This window comes from Homo sapiens, chromosome 3 (assembly GCF_000001405.40).
Source record: "Homo sapiens chromosome 3, GRCh38.p14 Primary Assembly".
NCBI lineage: Eukaryota > Metazoa > Chordata > Mammalia > Primates > Hominidae > Homo > Homo sapiens.
The window spans coordinates 100082332-100103036 of NC_000003.12; the positions used below are offsets into that span (position 1 = coordinate 100082332).

The 20705-nt window shown below is 37.4% G+C and overlaps 2 protein-coding genes across 5 annotated transcripts in view, besides 1 other annotated feature; one reads left to right on the forward strand and one right to left on the reverse strand.

Moving 5' to 3' along the window:
- Positions 1-20705, forward strand: part of CMSS1 (cms1 ribosomal small subunit homolog) — a 363871-nt gene that overhangs the window by 264470 nt on the left and 78696 nt on the right. The gene's annotated exons all lie outside the window — the stretch shown is intronic.
- Positions 1-20705, reverse strand: part of FILIP1L (filamin A interacting protein 1 like) — a 285691-nt gene that overhangs the window by 253521 nt on the left and 11465 nt on the right. The window lies entirely within an intron of this gene.
- Positions 7842-8342: an enhancer, noted in NCBI's record as "NANOG-H3K27ac hESC enhancer chr3:99809017-99809517 (GRCh37/hg19 assembly coordinates)". NCBI's record gives its function as "activates a minimal SCP1, AML or CMV promoter by ChIP-STARR-seq in primed H9 embryonic stem cells {active_cell/tissue: H9 hESC(primed)}" and the evidence as "EXISTENCE:reporter gene assay evidence [ECO:0000049][PMID:30033119]".

The following is a 20705-nucleotide window of genomic DNA, read 5'->3' on the forward strand; positions in this document are numbered from 1 at the left end:
ATACAGTATAGCAAAAACTTAAAAGGAACTCCTCTGTACTGCTGGGGAGAGAGGTCAAAATTTTTTGTCATCACAGATAAGAAAACTCACTGTTATCATAACTTACAGCTTTAAGACTGGTAGTTAGTTAATGGTTTCTATTTTCTTCTATCAGTGAGAAATTATTCGTTTCCAGGAATCTCTTGGAGAAGACAGCCCATAATATCTGAGTGAGGAATGAGCCAGCTTTGAAGACCCTAAACAGCAGCATGGCATTCATATTTCTGGTCAGAAGAATGCAGCTCTGGGAAACAGGGTCCCACAGGGTAACTATTTTTTGGTTATAGTCGAGCTCCAACAAATTTTATTTAGGAAGCCTTTATAGATGCCACACAAACACACCCATTTTTTATACCCTTACTTAAATTTATTGTTACATGTTTCTGTTTCTGTGAGGTCCATACATGTCACAAAATCTGTTTTTCAGCATGGTAGTCATAGACTTACCTTCGTTGACTTAAGACACCACCTAGTTTGAAGAGATATAATTCACCCCTTGGGTTTATTTTGTGAGAATGGCCTATTGTACATTCCACAATCTGTAGAATTAGCTTGCCTGTGGTTTTGAAAAAAGAACAAATTGAGAACTCTTGCCCTTGTGGTTTTATTTAATGTTTAGAAAAATTCAAGTTTAGTCTAGTACTTTGGGATGTGTATATTCTACTGGCTATATTTATGAAATTACAATTATTTTCCAGCAATTTCCAGGTCTAAATAAAATCATGTATGGATTTTATTGTTTAGGGTCAGACATATTGGCAGTCAGTACCTGACAGGGTCAAAGTGAGAGTTTTTTTACTTAATGCTTCAGGATATTCAACATAAGACTCTCCAGAATATTCAACATAAGAATTAACTAAATAGTTTTACTTTATCTTGGGCTTGCTTGCGCCTGTAATTATTTGTTTTTATCTTGACCGACTAGTTAATTGCCAAAGGATTATTTTAGATAAGTAGCCCTTAACGTATGTTGTGTGGAACAGCAGCATCAGCATTACCTGGGAACTTGCAAGACATGAAACTTCCTAGACCCAACCCCAGGCCTACTGAATCAGAAACCCTAGGGGTGGAGCCCAGTGATCTGTATTTTAGCAAGCTCTCCGTCTGATTCTAATGCACAGCGAGATTTCAGAACCATTGTTTCAGACCATAATCATTGTGACATTTTCCCGTCTTGTCTCTGATGCCATGAAAAGCAAATGATTTTTGCCAAGAAACAAATATTAGTTGCTTAGTGCATGCTTCTTTATCTTGTTTGAAATATGAGGCCTACATTTAGTGTCATATTTTTTAAAGTGTTAGAATAATCAGTCTTAACTAAATTGTGTTTTCAACTTCATAAAAAAAATTTTTAACATCACCATTTCTTTGTTTGTTTGTTTGTTTAGAGAAGGGGGTCTCCCTATGTTGCCCAGGCTGGTTTCAAACTTCTGGGCTCAAGCAGTCCTCCCACCTTGGCCTCCCAAAGTGCTAGTATTAAGGCATGAGCCACGGTGCCTGGCGTGATTCTTGCCATTGGAAGTTCTATAGTAGATTTTGGTCAGAAGTACTAAGGTTGTGAGCATAATTATCAAAATAAAATTTATGTATGCTGAAGTTGACAGCTGAATTACAAAGAATATTTCTCCGTTATAGTTAATTTGTGTTATTTCTTCCTTTCATAAAATAATAATAATGCTTGTATTAAAATTTCTGCTACCCCCATGCCAGCAGAAAGGAGCTCAATTTTTAAAATAAAGCCTCGGGCCATGAGACCCATGTCATTTGCTGCATGTCTAGACTTCTAGATTATGCATTTGTGCCCCAGTTAAGCAAAAGCTCCGTATTGTTATTTCATGTACATGTTTAAATAACTTTAATAGCAGCCTTTGGAGTGGCTCATTTTAAAAGTCCCTTTTAGTCTCCTACCTGCTATTTTTCACTAGCCCATTGAGTAGAGGGGTTTTTCATGCTACCCACATAAAAATATGCAAATATTTATAAGCTTAGGTCCATCAAACTAGTTAATTTGGACCTAAATATGAATTTTGATCAAGGCTGCTTGCAAATTCACATTTTGGGCTTACTTTCAGATTTCAGATATATAGAAAAACTCAAAGAAAATGAATAAAGCCTTTCAGTGCTCCAAAGATTTGTTTAAAAGGAACAGCCACTAAAAACGGGAAAACAATACAGTGTTATGGGAAGTAAGAACCTTATGATAGCCGTGTCTCTTAAACAGAGCTTTATAAAGAGGAACTGATGTGGTTTTACTATGTCTATGCAAGGGATTTGACCGTAAAGCCATAAGTTAGAGAAATTGTCACTTACGTATAAACATGAGGATATGGATATTACAGATCAACCTCACTTTTTCCACTTATTTGTGTTCCGAAAACTGAATATTTATAAATCAAATCATAGTTTTCACTTGGTTCATATTATCATCTCAGAGCTGTAGCTTCTTTTTCACTTGCGTAGGTGGAATTTGGTTGCTAAAATACCTATCCCCAATCAGTCCCAGCCTTGCATCAAGTTAGGGAATTATAAATGAAGTAGCCACTATGTAAAGGTAATGTAATGAATCCAAAAATTATCTTATAATGCAGAAACTCATTCTCTGTCCATGTCTTTAGCTTCAGATTTTTCTGTCATTTGTTGAATTGTGGCGCACTTTTAAATATGTATGTATGGTACAGATCTCTGCTGAATCTCCTAAACTAAGCCGTATCCCCTAAAGTGGTGGTTTCCAGCCCAGGCTGCTCAATAGAATCACAAGAGAAACAGTCCTGATCAGTTGAATTAGAATCCCTGGATATGGAATTGTTTTAAAAGTATCTAAGGTGATTATACCGTACAACCAACCTGAAGTTTGCCAGAAGAGAACATTAATATTTTAGAACAGCTTATTATTGTAGATAGTGTGATTATAAACTAGTTAAAATGTTTCACACTAAGAGGACTGATGTTTTATATCTTCCCTTCTCCTTAAGGAATTCATTTCTTTCTGCTTCCTCATGTAGGGAAAAATGACTGACTTTTACTATAATAGCAGGGTCTTTTTATACAAATGTTGCCCATTTGGGACTATGCTTTCTCCAAGTGCTTGTAATTTCTCAAAACCATACATCAATCCAAAGTTCCTTTGCTTTTTTATCTCAGAAGCAAAAATATCCCCATTTCTTCCTCTCTTATCAACCAAGACCCCTCTGTGTTCCTCTTTCATCCTTCATCTCAGCATAGCTCTAAGATGCAGGCAAATAACATCCTCAAGCTTACAGGCTTTCCGTCTCTCATGAGGGAATGAAGTGCCTTTCCTCCAACTGAAATGTTTCTGAAGTACTCTTCAGCCACTGCAGTGTTCTGTCATTTTTGTCTGTCATCTGGGAATCAGAGCTATGCACGTGGATGATGACCCCCTCCTAAGTGGCCAAATAAAAGAAGTTACATATGTCTTTTATTCACTCTGTGTTTCTCTGGAGACCTCGACTAGCAGGAAAAGAGGTGGTTACATTTTCATGAAGAGTAATATACTCCCAAGTTGCATTTTAATGGATAACTTAGCTCTGGGTTAGATTCTTCAGCATAAAGGTCACCACTTTTAATATAGAGGGTCATGAGTTTAGTCATTGGACAAGTTAATCAAATGGCTGCTGTAGTTGAAAAGTACATCTGCATTTGAATAAAATATGATTCGTGTTAGAGAGCTAAACTTGATGTTTGGTTTCCTCCAGGTAATAAAATAGCTTTTAATGAAATAAACATGTATCTTTCTGCAGCGAACCTGCATAAAGAGCATAGAACAGTTGCGTTTCCTTTCTGGCAGTGGTAGAGAGTCTTTGACCTGCCATGGGCTGCTTTATTTTATTCAGTCTCAAATAGTTAACCTATTGAGCTGATTAGAAAACAACTAGAAGTCATTCAGTACCACAGAAGAAAGGGACAGAAAAGCCACGAAGTTAGTTGTACTTGTTTGGACATCAATATCATTGATTATATCATTCCAAGTATTACTACTGAGAAATGTCTTGGAATCAGCTGACCCCCTCTAGTTCTAATACCATAAAGGGGGAAAAAAAATCCAGGTTCTACTCTTATCTGTGCTTTCTCACTTATAACAGTACCTAACTCCTAGTTGATACTCAAATACTTTTTTTACAATTTGTTTTAGCCCTAAGCCTGTTTACCCAAATCAAATACCTTTTTAAGAAAAATTAAACTGGTATTTATTACCCACCAGGCTAACGTCCAAAATATGTGCCTTCCTATGAATCATTGCAGCAATTTAGTGTAGAGCCTCTTTAAATTTTTGATAAAAATCATTGGAGAGTTGGGAGCAATGGCTAACCCATTTTTTCACTTTTTAAAATTTACATATGGTAAAATTCACTTTTGTGTCTAGGACAGGTCTGTGATTCAGACAAATGCATACAGCAGTGTGATCACCACCATAATCAAAATGCAAAGCACTTCCATCACCCCCAGAAATCCTTCAGGCTCCCTTTTTAATCAGTCCCTCTCTCTATTCTCAACCCCTAGTAACTACTGATTTTTTTTCTGTTCCTCTAATTTTACCTTTTCCTGAATGTCATATAAATGGAATCACAGTATTTTGAATCTGGTTTCTTTTACTTAGCAGAATGTACTTGAGATACTATCCAAATTGTCATGTGTACCAACAGTTTGTTCCTTTTTGCTGCTGTTTAATGTGCTGTCATACAGCTGTACCATAGTTTGCTAATCCAATTACGAGTTGAAGGACATTTGGTTTATTTTCTGTTTGGGGCAATTATGAATAAAGCCACTATTAATGTTCACGTACAGGTTTTAAGTGAATGTAGCTTTCTTGTGAGTGTTTCTCTAGGAGTGGAATTACTGGGCTTTGTTGTAAATGAATGTTTAGCATCTTATAAAGAACTGCCAAACTGTTTTCCAAAGTGATTGTACTATTTTGTGTTCCCACCAACAGTGTATGAGAAATTCCAGTTGCTCAGCAACCTCACCAGCAATTGGTATTGTCAGTGGGTTAGTTTGGTTTTGGTTTTGGTTGACTGGGTTTTGTTTTCTTTTGTTTTTCTGGTCATTCTAATAGTGGTATCTCCTTGTGGTTTTAATTTGTATTTCCACAATGACTAATGGTGTTGAGCATCTTTTCATAGACCTATTTTTCATCCAAGTATAGTCTTTAGTGAGGCATCTTTTCAAACCTTTTGCTTTTTTTGTTTAATTGTTTTCTTATTATTGAGTTTTGAGATTTATTTATATATTCTGAATACAATTCTTTTTCAGATATATAACTTGCGAGTTTTTTTCCCCAGTCTTTGGTTTGCCATTTCATTATATTAATAATGTCTTTCACAAAGGAAAAGTTTTTGAAGAAGACCAATTGATCAGTGTTCTCTTGTGGACTGTGCTTCTGGTATTGTACCTAAGGAATCTTTTCCTAACACAAACTCACAAAGATTTTCTCCTATTGTTTCAACTTTTTTTTTTTTTTTTTTTTTTGAGTCTCACTCTGTCACCCAGGCTGGAGTGCAGTGGCAAGATCTCGACTCACTGCAACCTCCACCTCCAGGGTTCAAGCAATTCTCCTGCCTCAGCCTCTCAAGTAGCTGGGATTACAGGTGCCCACCACCATGCCTGGCTAATTTTTATATTTGTAGTAGAGATGGGGTTTTACCATGTTGGCCAGGCTGGTCAGGAACTCCTGACCTGAAGTGATCTGCCTGCCTCGGCCTCCCAAAGTGCTGGGATTACAGGCATGAGCCACTGCACCTGGCTCTAACTATAATTTTTTTAAACTACTTTTGTAGGTTTTTAAAGTGAAATTTGGGAGCTTGCTGGGATGGAAAAGGCAGTGAAACAGAGAAGTTATCATTATATGTGTCCCTTGGACATCCCTTACCTAAACCAAAAGCTTAAATTGATACAGAAAAAAATAGTTTCATTTCAGAAGTTAATATAGGTTTTCAGTGTAACGCTCAGACATTATGGAATACAGATACCTAGATCCCCCAAAACTACAAATAATGCAAATGAGTAAGTTATTATTGTCAGAGGAAATATATGAAGATATAGCTAATATATGGATAACTAAATTATTCATTTTCTGATTGAAATTAACTTTTAAAACCTGAATCATTTCAAAATCTTTATATTTGTAGGAAATGAATATTCTGCACATTAATAATTCATAATAAATTGCTGAGAAAACGATTACATTTTCAAAAGTGTCAAAGCACACCAGTTTCCTCAGTCTTACAGAGACATCAAGTTCTTGCACTTTCTCTCCTTCTCTGCAGTTTTCTCTCTCTTCTTTTTCTCCTCATCACTCCCTTGAGTCTCCCATTTTTCTTGCTAATCCTGACATATTTTCTTGTCCTTGTGCCTTGTAATTTCTTTTTCTTCATATTTTTGTCTCTCTTCTCTATCTGCCCCACTTTTTTGTATCTTTTAATTCACTACAATATGAAACCAGTTTCTTTCTCTGGGTAGTATTTATTTAGTGAGCTTTTTTTTCCTTTTTGTGATGTAAATGTTTGTTTTTTGTTATGTTTATTTTTTGTCCTTCTGACTCAGAAATTTTTCAGAAGCACTAAGTAAGTCACTGTTTGCATGTACTTGAATCAATCATGGTTTACACTCTCCAGAGAGAAAGTATCCTTTGATGAAATAAGGACATTACCCACCTCTGCTCTGTAAGGCACCAGTATTAGAAGGCATCAGTGAGGATCATTTTATCCATTTCCCTACCAGTAAAGTATCCAAGAGTAAAAGTTATATAATATAGTTAACATGAAGTGTCTAGACATAGCTACTTTGCTAATACATTCCAACGTCTAGCTCTTGTTTTCAGTGGCTTAAAGATATGTAGTAATCTTATTGATCTGCTTTCCAATTTTTCTGGCTGTATTTGCCCTACAGGAAGTATTTTATTATTTAGAGTTCAGTTGCATTTTCTATTACTACACGCATATCCACAAGCAAAACCATCCAGAGAGATTTACTTGGTTTTCCTGTTCTTTCCTACTCAACAATGCTAGCTAATACTCTTCAAAATTAAATATTCTTTGTTTTTACTAACTTTATGCAAGTAATGGATTAACTGAATTTAAAGCCCTAAAGAGTAGATGGAGATGAAGATATGAAGATTTTTCTGCATCCACCTATAAGTCAAAGCCTCATGTCAAGCAAAAAGGATAGGAAGCAGAAACATTTCTAAAACTGAACAATTTAACAGACTAGAACTAAGCATTTCCCATTATGGTTCTTTATATGATATTTGATAACTGAATCACTTTACTGATGTCTTACATTGAGTGAAAAGGTAGTATAATATAAATACAAATTTCATAGGCATTTGTATGAAGTAAGAATTCATTGCTCGTTAATAATCTGGAAAAGAAGACACCCGTGGCTAATTGAGGAAGATTTAGTCAGGCTTTTTAAGTAGAATGTCATATTAGGAACAACTGGATTCTAGTCTCCATTTTTGCCACCTACTAGTTCAGTGACCTGGAGCAAGTCTTGTCTTCCGTTTCCTAGGCTGTGAACTGTAGGAATTGACTCAGATGATCTCTAAGACCTCCTCTAGTACTGAACAAAATTGGAGGGAGGAAATAGTACACTCATCTTCCCTACTCCCCCGCAACTGCAAAGCCAGCTAGCTTTTCTCCTGATAGGAGTGCGTGGAGCCACAGAAAACTTCACTGATGTTTATCTCAAAGCTCATTGCTTCACTGTCTGCAGCTGATCCTTCTGAGCTCCTTCCATGGAGGGCTTGTTCCAAGGGCAGTCCCTCCCTAAACTATGAAGCACTCTATGAATGCCCCTTCTAGTAAGGCCCCAGGCACCTTTGTCCACATGGGTCCATTGTGCAGCTGTTTGCTATTGTTTTCTTCAAGATTCAAATTTAACTGTCCCGATCTTCTGAGTCTTTAAGATAGTCAAGGGAACATTAGCTCACTGAAAATAATTGAAAACACCTTTTGGAAAAGTGCAGCTGGGAATGCAAGCATGGGATTCAATCATGCTGGTCGTGATTTTTCAGGGAAGAGATTATTCCTCTACCTTATAACATTTTCTAAGAAATTTAGAGAAAGCAATTCCACCTCTGATTTTCTGAGTCATAGTCTTTGAGAGCAAAACCAGGCGACAGAGATGCATGACTTGCCCAGGCCCTCCCAGTGGTAGGTTATGAAACTGTTCTGCAATCCCCTGCCTGGGCTCTTTCTCTGCAACACTAGCCTCTGCCTTTCCAAAGCCTTCCTGGTGTTGCAGTCGTGTTCTCTGTAGCATTTCCCATTGCCTTTGACCCTGAGTCACTCCTATCATGAAATAAGGCTGTATTTAATTAGGACACCCAAATGCTCAGGAAAACCTCTCCATCAGAACTGCACAACTTGTCTGATCACCACTGTCCTAGGAGCTCTCTGCAGGTATGCCAGTGCTGACAGGCTGACTGGCCTCAGGAATATGGTATCTCCTATCCTCCCTAGAGCTTGCCTGCTTCATTCCATCCCATGTAGTCTAAAGTATATTTTAAGAAAACTTGAAATGAGTGCAGAGGTTAAACATTTCAAAGTAGCTTGGGATTACAAGTAATTTTAACCCAAGGTCATTTGGAAAATGTCATTCCTGAAACCCTACCTTAGGCCCGGGCACAGTGGCTCACGCCTGTAATCCCAGAACTTTGGGAGGCCGAGGTGGGCGGATCACGAGATCAGGAGATCGAGACCATCCTGGCTAACACGGTGAAACCCCGTCTCTACTAAAAATACAAAAACTTAGCTGGGCATGGTGGCGGGCACCTGTAGTCCCAGCTACTCGGGAGGCTGAGGCAGGAGAATGGCGTGAACCTGGAAGGCGGAACTTGCAGTGAGCCGAGATTGCGCCACTGCACTCCAGACTAGGCGACAGAGCGAGACTCCGTCTCAAAAAAAAAAAAAAAAAAGAAAAAAGAAACCCTGCCTTTAAGGGGTGTGCATGTATGTATGTGTATGTATGTTCACCTTCTTCTTCCAAAACAAAATGTTTTAATAAATGAACTTTGTGGAATTTGATTGGAAAGACTCATGTTTTGTAAGGGAAGAAGAAGTGTAAGAAATTAGGTAACAAGAGCAGCCAGTTTTAAAGATGCATGCTGATAAATGCTTTGCAGCACAAGCCTTCTACCCTGTTCCCAGCCATAAGCATCATAAGTTATTCTGTCACCAAAAGTGTAGCCATGTTCTAACTTACGTGCCTGACTTACATTACAAAAGTATAACTAGCTTCTCAATTTCCCACATAATCTTTTTATCTGCAGCCACTTGAGTATCCCAAATTCCTGTTTCTGCCATCTCTGACAAGAATAAAAATAATGGAAAACTAACCATTTTCTACCAGTATCATTAGTCAGAGTAAAATCCTTTTTCTAGACATATTTCCAATATTTTCCTTAAGACAGGATTATTTGCTCAGCGTCTCCTCTCGTGATTCACAGGTACATTGTTCCGATTCCACGTTGGGCCTGAGTAAATATTAATTGAAACTGTAAAGGCAGTATATAACATGGTGGTTAAGAACTCAGGTTCTAGGGTCAGATTTCTCAGGTTAGAATCTTAACGCTGATCTTTACCAGCTATCTGTCCTAGGGCAAGTTGCTTGATCTCTCTGGACCTTATTTGTGCCACATATGTAAAATGGGGTTGCGGATATTAATATCTATTTCATAGGGCTATTATGAGCAGTGGTCCTTAAAAATGTACTCTGTAAAGAATTTAGAAAAAATGCATACTTCCTCACACATTTTTAAGTTGGATCTAAAACTTTTTATCATGGCTTTCAAAGTTTATTTTTGTTAAATAGGAGGTAGAAAAGAGTAAATATTCTATAACAGTATTAAATAAGAATTGATTGTGATTGGAAATAGTTGACATGCTGGCTAAAGATGTCCTGATGAAAGCATGTGTCCCTGAAACCAGTAGATTTCCCGTCATAGCATATTTTGGATTCCAGGAGTCTGTTTACCCCAAAGACAATGGTATACAAGATAATGAACTGTAATAAGATTTGTTTTGAGTGAGAAGTTTGGCTTTTTTTTAACATGGAAAAGCCAATATGAATGTAGTTGGATTCTCAGGCAGCTGAAAAATAAAGTACAAATGGAAGTTAAGGTCTAAAGACAAATTTCCTTAAAATACCCTTGCATGTGTATATCTTGTATTTGCATGCCCAGTACACATACCCCAGTTGGAAGGCCACTAGTTATGAGGGTTAAATGAGTCAATGCATGTTAAGCTCCTAGAATAACGCCTGGTATCTAGTATGCACTGAGCAAACATACATTATTGCTATTATTATTTTAGGTTCTCCCTTTAGAGAAAAAAATATTCATACTTACTCTGAGGTCCTACCTTGTCCTCATGTCTTATCTCCCTGCATTCAGCATCCTTTAGAATTAAGTGACTAAGGATCAGAAGTATCTATTACCTCTGTATTGGGATCATGGTTCCATTCTTCTCACAAGACAAACTCATTCCAGGAGTTAACAGCGGGGACTTTCTGGTCAAATTCTATTCAGTTTAGCTATCTATAAATATGACATTCTCCTGGATACACATAACTCTCACTACCTATGGATCCAGCCTGATGCTAAAGGTTCCATAAATTGAGAATTTGTGGGGTTTCATAAATACGTTGAAGGAGTAGAGGTTACTAGATAACTGCAGAAATAGAATACAGAATGGAAAAAATTGAAGTGTAAAATTTTAAAAGAAAAGGTTAGCTCATTTTAAACATACTCTATGCACTGGTCATCAGACACTTAGAAATCTCAAAATCAAAACAGGGACCTCTGGCCTAACATATTACCAGATATACTGAGTTGAGCAGCTTATGTCATTAGATATTAGTTCTGTGTTTTTATAGCTGATGTCTTCTGTAACTTTTTAGTTACCAAAACAATGTATGTTCATTTTAGAAAAAGTCAGATAATCCAGAAGGAGAAAATGAAAGTCACTGATATACTACCACCTAGGGATAAAGATTTTGATACATATTTTTTCTTACAAAAAATATATACTTACATTATTTTTCTTACAAAAAATATATACTTTTTTACAAAAAATATATACTTTTAATTTTTTAAGTAAACTTTTTACTTTGAGATAATTGTGATTCACATGCATTTGTACGGAATAATGCAGAGTGATTCCACATACACTTCAACCAGTTTCCTCCAATGGTAACATCTTACAGAACTGTAGTGGAATGTCACAACCAGTATATTTACATTGATACAGCTTAGAAAACATTTCTGTCACCACAAGGATCCCTCATGTTCACCTTTTATAGCCACAACCATTTTCCTCCCATCCCCTACTCTCTCCTGAAACCCTGGCAATCACTACTTCTCAATTTATATAATTTTGTCACTTCAAAAACAGTATATAAATAGAATCATACAACATGTAACCTTTTAGGATTGACATTTTTTTCACTTATCACATAGCACAATTTTCTGAAGAGTTATCTAGGACATCTGAGTTTTTTCCATTTTTTGGCTATTACAAATAAAACCACCATAAAGATTTGTGTACAGGTTGTTGTGTGAACACAAGTTTTCATTTCCCTGGGATGAATGCCCAGGAGTGCAGTTGCTGGGTTCATATGGTAGTTTTATAGAGTTACTGTACCAACTTACATTCCTACCAGCAATGTATGAGTGATGTAATTTCCCTGCATCCTTGCCAACATTTGGTGTCATCACTATTTTTTTAATTTTAGTAATTCTGATAGATGTGTAGTGATATTTCATTTTGATTTTCATTTGCATTTCCCTAGCAGTTAATGATGTGGGACATCTTTTCGTCACTTGTCATCTATATATCCATTTGAATGAAATGCTGGCTCATGTCTTTTGCCCATTTTCTAATTGAATTGATTGGATTGTTCTTTATTGTTAAGTTTTAAGAGTTCCTTATATTTTTTAAATGGTTGTCCTTTCTCACATATGTAGTTTGGTATATTTTCTCCCAATATCAAGATATTATTTTCATTCCCTTAACAGGATCTTTCATGTGGCAAAAGTCTTTTGTTTTGATACAGTGTAACTTATCAATTTTTTTATGGATTATACTTTTGGTGTTAAGTATAAAAACTCTTTGTCTAGACAGAGATCCCAAAGATTTTCTCTTATTTTCTAAGAGAATTTTATGTTTTACATTTAGCTTCATGATCCATTTTGAATTCATTTTTGTTTAAGGTGGTAGACTTGAGTTCAGATTCATTTTTTTCCTATGGATGTCCAATTTCTCCAGCACCATTTGTTGGAAAAGCTGCCTTTTTTTTTTTTTTTTTTTTTTTTTTTTTGAGACAGTCTCGCTCTGTCACCCGAGCTGGAGTGCAGTGGCACAATCTCGGCTCACGGCAAGCTCTGCCTCCCGGGTTCATGCCATTCTCCTGCCTCAGCCTCCCAAGTAGCTGGGACTACAGGCACCTGCCACCACACCTGGCAATTTTGTGTGTGTGTTTTTTTAGTAGAGACGGGGTTTTATCATATTAGCCAGGATGGTCTTGATCTCCTGACCTCGTGATCCACCCGCCTCGGCCTCCCAAAGTGCTGGGATTACAGGAGTGAGCCACTGCGCCTGGCCAAAAGCTGTCTTTTGTTGGCTGAGTTGCTTTTGCACTGTTGTGAAAAACCAGGCAGGCATATTTGCATGGTCTGTTCACAGATTCTCTGTTCTTTTTCATTGATCTATGTGACTATCCCTTTACCAGTACATACAGTCTTGATTACTATAGTTAAAAAAGTCTTGAAATAGGTACACTGATTCCTCCCACTTTCTCTTCTTTTTCAACACTGTTTTAGTTATTCTATTTACCTTTCCCTTTCCATATAAATTTTAGATCATCTTGCCTATATCTACAAAAATCTTGCGGAGATTTTAGTTAGAATTCCATTAACACTATATATCAATTAGGGATAAATCGACGTGTTTGCTATGTTAAACACAGTTGGCCCTTCATACCCTTGGGTTCTGTATCCGTGAATTCAACCAACTACATATCAAGAATATTTTTTAAAAACTATTTAAAAAACAATTAAAAATAATACATATTTAAAAACAATATACTACAGTGAACTTAATTTTGACAGTCATACCGAGAACATGCATTGGAGAAAAGACAGTCTCTCCAATAAATGGTGCTAGGAAAACTGGACATTTATGTGCAGAAGAATGAAACTTGACCCCTATCTCTTGCCTAATACAAAAATTAAACCAAAATGAATTAAAGACTTAAATATATAAGACTTCAGACTTTGAAACTGAAACAGGAAAACATTGGAGAAACTTTTCAAGACATTGGTCTGGGTAAAAATTTATTGAACAATACCCCACCAGCACAGGCAACCAAAGCAAAAATGGACAAATGGGATCACATCAACTTAAAAAGCTTCTGCCCAGCAAAGGAAACAATCAACAAAGTGAAGAGAAACCCACAGAACGGGAGAAAATATTTGCAAACTACCCATCTGACAAGAGATTAATAACTGCAGTATATAAGGAGCTCAAACAACTACATAAGAAAAAAATGAATAATCCAATTTAAAAAATAGGCATAAGATTTGAATAGACATTTCTCAAACGAAGACATACAGATGACAAACAGGCATATGAAAAGGTGCTCAAAATCATTGATCATCAGAAAACTGCACATCAAAACTGTAATGAGATATTATCTTACCCCAGTTAAAATGACTTTTATCCAAAACACAGGCTGGAAAGGATGTGGAGAAAAGGGAACTCTCATACACTGTTGGTGGGAATGAAAATTGGTACAACCACTGTGGACAACAGTTTGGAGGTTCCTCAGAAAACTAAAACTAGAGCTACCATATGATCCAGCAATCCCACTACTAGGTACATACCCCAAAGAAATGAAATCAGTATAGCAAAGAGAGATCTACACTCCCATGTTCATTGCAGCACTGTTCACAATAGCCAAGATTTGGAAGCAACCTAAGTGTCCATCAACAGATGAATGGATAAAGAAAATGTGGTACTTAAACACAATGGATACTATTCAGCCATAAAAGATAATGAGATCCTGTCATTTACAACAACATGGATGGAACTGGAGGTCATTATGTTAAGTGAAATAAGCCACGCACAAAAAGACAAACATCACATGTTCTGACTTATTTGTAGGATGTAGAAATCAAAATAATTGAACACATGTTGATGGAGAGTAGAGGGATGGTTACCAGAGTCTGGGAAGAGTAGTAGGGGGTGGGGAGGAGATGGGGTTAGTTAAGGAGTACAAAAAAAAAAAAGAAAGAATGAATAACACCAGGTATTTGATAGCACAACAGAGTGACTACAGTCAAATTAATTTAATTGTACATTTTAAAATAACTGAAAGAGTATAATTGGATTGTTTGTAACACAAAGGATAAATGTGTGAGGGAATGGATACCTTATTTCCCATGATGTGATTATTATACATTGCTTTCCTGTATCAAAATATCTCATATACCCCATAAATATATACACCTACTATGTACCCACAAAAATTAAAAATAAAAAAATTTTAAATGAAAGCCAATACAGTATAACAACTATTTACATAGCATTTATATTGCATTACACCCTGGGCCACAGATCATACCACTCTGTGGCCTGTTAGGAACCAGGCCACAAAGCAGGAGGTGAGCAGCAGGCAAGCCAGCATTACTGTCATTACTCCACTTCCTGTGAGATCAGCAGCATTAGATTCTCATAGGAGCACAAACCCTATTGTGAACTACAGAACTGCACATGCGAGAGATCTAGGTTACATGCTCCTTATGAGAAAGACTAATTCCAGTTGCCCTGAGATGAACAGTTTCATCCCCAAACCACCAACCATCCCATCCGTGGAAAAATTGTCTTCCACAAAACCAGTCCCTGGTGCCTAAAAGGTTGGGAACCACTGTTGTATTAGATATTGTAAGTAATCTAGACATTTTTTAAAGGCTACAGGAGGATCTGCATGGATTATATGCAAATACTGTGCTATTTTATATCACTGACTTGAACATCCTCAGATTTTGGTATCTGAAGGGAGTCCTGGAACCAATCTTCTGTGGATATGGAGGGACAACCCGGTATTCTAATCCACGAACACAGTATATCTCTCTATTTTTAGATATTTGATGTCTTTCATGAGCATTTTGTAGTTTTCAGTATACAAGCCTATATATATACATGTTTTGTTGGATTTACATCTAAAAGTGAGATTGCACTCTGTTTTTAAAGCCATGTATTTGTGAACATGTACGTCATGAATATTTTCTAAACTATTAGGTTATTTTCAGCACCATTAATAGACTCTAATAATTAGTTCTGGATTTGAATATTCTTCGTTATTTGGCAAATATCACAAAGACTACTTGGTTATTAAATTTTTCCTAGCCCAGGATTAGGCCTCCATTTCAACAAAATACTCAGCTGGATACTTGCTACCTTCTAAGTTGCAATGGCTTTGTTGCACTTTTTCTGAATAGCTTTGTGTTATATTTTTACTCAGTAGAAACTCTTATCATTTATTTTGTTGGTTTTTTAAAATTTCATCAACGGTAGCATATCTGACAAGGTAATAGTGATTTTTAATGTTTAGCTAGGCATAGTAATGGTACGTGCCACATTGCTATTTGAAAAATCTAGTAAAACAAGAATAGCAACAAGATCATAGGTCAGGGACTACTTTGACTCTTGGCTGTGCTGTAATTTGTTATTGCCAACCCACTGGAGTCTGTACTGCTTGCAGCACAGCCAGCTGAAAGCCTCCCTGTGATTCCCTCACCAGTTAGCAGATTCACATTTTATGACAGGTAAAAAAACAAACTACACGGTACCTGTATTGGTGATGATAAGCTTCAGTAGAAGGAGGTAACGAGAAGTAAAGAAACAAGCACTGTGTTTTAGAGTGAAAAACCCTATATTTGAATGCCATTTCCACCATTTAAACTGCTCTTTGACCTTAGGCCAGTTACTGAACTTCTCTCAGGCTAAACTTTCTCATCTGTAACATGATGACTAGAATGGCTACCTCACAGGATTCTTGAAATTAAATAAGTTAGTGTATTAAAGTATTCAGCATGGTACCAGGCAGATAGCAAGCACTCAAGAATTGTTAGCTATAATTGACTGACTCTATAAGTTTTATTTGTATTATTCATAATTGAACTTCGGCTCTTGCTGCTAATCAATACCAGTACATGCAAGGAAGTTATTTTTGTGCATATATTTCTTCCCTACTGGAGTATAAGTACCTACAGCCCTGAAAACTTTACATGCCTCACTGTGTAGCATAGCAGTGCCTTCTGAAGAATGTTGAATGTCATTGCCGTATACAGAGGTGGAAACTCACCATGAAAACAAACCATTAGCAAGGATCTGTTTTTAAAAATGCCTTTCTTAAACTAGGAAAATATTTTAGGGATCTCAAATGGCTTCCTTAAACTAGGAAAACATTTTTAAAGATTCCAGCTGATAAGAAATATTTTTGATTCATTGCCTGGAACTAGATACTTCTCAATTTGGGATTATAAATAATGCCAGTTAAGATGGTGTTGGATTCAGCCATGCATGGGATGTGGAGTAGAGTGATTCAGCAGGTTTTTGCTTTCCTGATTGCAGAACTCTTCTTTATATATTAAAAGGGAGTTTTCAAATTTCTACCAATGATCATTTTTCATTTGTAACCCAGAGAAGTTTTGAACTGTCATTCTGCAGGCTTTTTCAGGAAGCTTAAATGCAGGATTGAATTAATCAGAGAATACAATACTGGATTTCTGCATTTTTTAGTTTTGAAATTGACTTAATGTAGGTAATAGACTGAATATTTATCATCTTAGTACGCACACTAGGAGCAATCAAATATAACATTACATAGTTCCTTTAAAAAGATACCAAGAGTCTCATTTCAGTACACCCTTTAAAGCACAGAGATGCATAATCCTATCAGAATTATGCATATGTGCATTAAACGAGTAAGCTATCACTTTCCAAATTTTCTGATAAGATTTTATAAGAAACAAGTATACAAGGGTAAGGAAGGTAGAGGAAGAAGAGAGCTGATCTTGTAGCTAGGATGGTAGGAAAAGCCCCTGCCAGCCTCTAGGTGATATAAAAGTATTTGTATCGGTCTAATTATGTATCCTTAACTAAGTCATTTAACTTTTCTGAGCCTCATTTCCCTGTTTACACAGGGGAATTACAATAATGTTTCTGTCTTCCTAAGGTGATAAGCAAACAAGATTATCTCTAGAAAACTATATAAATATACCATGTTATTCATTCCATAAATATTTATTAAATACCCACCGTGTGCCAGACACTGTCCTAGGGATAAGATTAAAACCTCTCATAAGATATGTTCTGTAGCAGTGGGAACCTAACAGGCCACCAAGGAGAGCCAGACATTTGAACCACTTAAGTATGGTAAAGTATCATAAGTATGCAGCGGTAGAACATTCCAGGTGTGGTTATGGAACTGAGTTGCTGAGAGTGGGCAGAGGGTTTTGGAGTTGAAGAATTCTGAAGCCACAGTGTTATAAAGATCATCCATGCTCAAGTTGAGACTAACCACAACTGGGAGGGAATTAGGAGAGAAAAAAGTTTGACACAGTTGTCAAAGTCCTTATTAAAGAAAGTGCAATGATGAGGAGAGGCAGAACTGAGGAGTGGGCAAGTGTGGCATGAGCCGTGAGAGCAGAGGTATTTTGATAAGAGAATGGAAAGGAATGGCCTGGAAGTGGCATGGTGGGCTGGGACAATGCTGCCACTCAGATTTTGGTGTGTGGGCTCTGGGGGCACAAGTAGCCTTCTCCTGAGATATTCAAGGGTTGTACATCCTGAGGAAAGGGTTGGACAAGAGATAGAACAGGACTTAGAATGAGGAGTCTGTGAAAAGGGTAAAATGTAGTAGTCCCAAAAATAGCAATATTTGTCATTTGTTGAACACCTAGAATGTACCATGTACTATACTTGGCTGTCTTATACATTATAATATTATCAGACCCTGCAAAGTAATTACTATCATCTGGATTTTACAGATTAGGTCATAAGGCACAGTGAGGCCATATGCATTTAAGATTACACAGCAAGTCCACATTTGAATCATTAAATCCAGTTCAGCCTGGCTGCAAAGCTGTGCTTTTGCATGGTTCTACATGTCTTCAGAGAGATTCAGAGCACACCATGGGAAGGATTTGGAGGCAAGTCAGAGAGGAAGGGAAGAATCAGAGGGAAGAATGCAAAATTATACAGGAATGAAAATACAGTAAATGAAAGGACTATTGACCCTTGAGGCTTACATTTTTGTTGGTAGCTGAGAATACCAAGATGATGAGAAATAGCATCACTAAGATATCTGGTGGAGTGTGAGACCTCGCAAGGTTAGTATCGCCTTGCTGCATATTCTGGTGAAGTGCTGTGGAGAAGGTGTCCTGGTGTCTTTTGAAGAGAATTCTTTCAGGCAGTTCATGAGGAAGATCAGTTTTTCCTGATTCTTCCATTCCTGGTGGAGTGGTTGACCAAGATTTAGCTTCCTTGTGTGTTAGTGGTCAGTTTTTTAGCCCAGGTATATGGAGAACAGAGAAGAAAGTGTGTGATGACAGTGGCATCTCACTTGCATGCATGTAGGATAGCAGCCTTCAGATTTTGGAGTACCTTGACCACTTTTGTACCTGGGGGCCTCTGGAGCTGGGTGGTACATACTGGAATTCTCATTAGACTATGGTGAAAAGTAAACACATGTATTAGCCTCTCCTGAGTGGTAGTAACCAGTTACTTTCTGAGACAGCGTTATACTAAGACTGAGAAAGAATCCCAGGCACAGGTAATGTCCTACTTTCCTTTACTGAGGGACAGTTAATACTACAGCTAAAATGACAGCTCCCCACTGCCTATGAGGAGAGGGAGTGCATTGACTTCGTTGACTGAGGACACAGACCAGGACCAGAGACTTTTGTGGGAAGAAGCTTTGATATTTGGCGGGAGGAGCAGTCCAGCTTTGCAGGCAGGTAGCAGTGGCCTCAGGTAAAGTAGATCGGGTTAGAAGAAGCAAAGAAAAATGCAGAGAGGCAGCAACTGAAGAGACTCTCACAACCTTGCTTTCGGTGAAGTACTTCCATTGGAATTCTTGATTGTGGTGGAAATAAATATACCCTTCAAAGTAACACATGCACTCTCTGATCCAGTCCAACACAGGAGGGGTTGGGATGTTTTTTGTTTGTTTTTGTTTTTTTAATTATACTTTAAGTTTTAGGGTACATGTGCACAATGTGCAGGTTAGTTACATATGTATACATGTGCCATGTTGGTGTGCTGCACCCATTAACTCATCATTTAACATTAGGTGTATCTCCTAATGCTATCCCTCCCCGCTCCCCTCACCCCACAACAGGCCCCAGTGTGTGATGTTCCCCTTCCTGTGTCCATGTGTTCTCATTGTTCAATTCCCACCTACGAGTGAGAACATGCAGTGTTTGGTTTTTTGTCCTTGCGATAGTTTGCTGAGAATGATGGTTTCCAGCTTCATCCATGTCCCTACAAAGGACATGAACTCATCATTTTTTATGGCTGCATAGTATTCCATGGTGTATATGTGCCACATTTTCTTAATCCAGTCGATCATTGTTGGACATTTGGCTTGGTTCCAAGTCTTTGCTATTGTGAATAGTGCCACAATAAACATACGTGTGCATGTGTCTTTATAGCAGCAAGATTTATAATCCTTTGGGTATATACCCAGTAATGGGATTGCTGGGTCAAATGGTATTTCTAGTTCTAGATCCCTGAGGAATCACCACACCGACTTCCACAATGGTTGAACTAGTTTACAGTCCCATCAACAGTGTAAAAGTGTTCCTATTTCTCCACATCCTCTCCAGCACCTGTTGTTTCCTGACTTTTTAATGATCGCCATTCTAACTGGTATGAGATGGTATCTCATTGTGGTTTTGATTTGCATTTCTCGGGTGTTAAGAGGATAACTAAATATCCTTGGAAATGGGATAATAAGGAAAGAGAAGTGAAAGTAGCCTAAGATGTGCACAGAAGAAATTGGATCCTCATCAGCGTGATTTCTGCTTCTCCACAGGTGTGAGATCTCTCTTTTCTTCAAATTACTCCAGTATTTTATCTGTACGTCTCTTGTAACACTTTTTATATTCCATATTGTTTTATATTTTTTGTGTTTTTCCTACTTCCATTACTAAACTATTAATTCTTTGAAGGCAAGGACAATGCCAAGCTGCATTCTGTGTCCTCCGCCATGCTTTGCATTCAGTAGTTACTCCGTGTTTGACTAAATTCATGACCCCAGGGACACTGTGCTTCCTCTGGGTTTGTTCATTTACTTGGCTATGAAAGACAATAATTTGCAAAGCCAACTTTCTCCTTTTTCTGAGATCAGTGACTAAATTATATTAAAAGTATTTTGCAGTGCTATAAGTGTATAGGAGAGAGGTTTTCTGTTTAGGGAATGTTGCTAAGCCCTGTCATCAAAAATAACCTTTCCATCTACCACTAAGTTCTGCCAGAGCATAGCAGATTGGCAAGAGCAGTTGAAAGGAAAAAGCAATGTAATGCCCTCTGCTTATGGCACTACAGGTGCCAGTGGAGGAAAAAAGTGTGAGGTTGAGGCTTGGG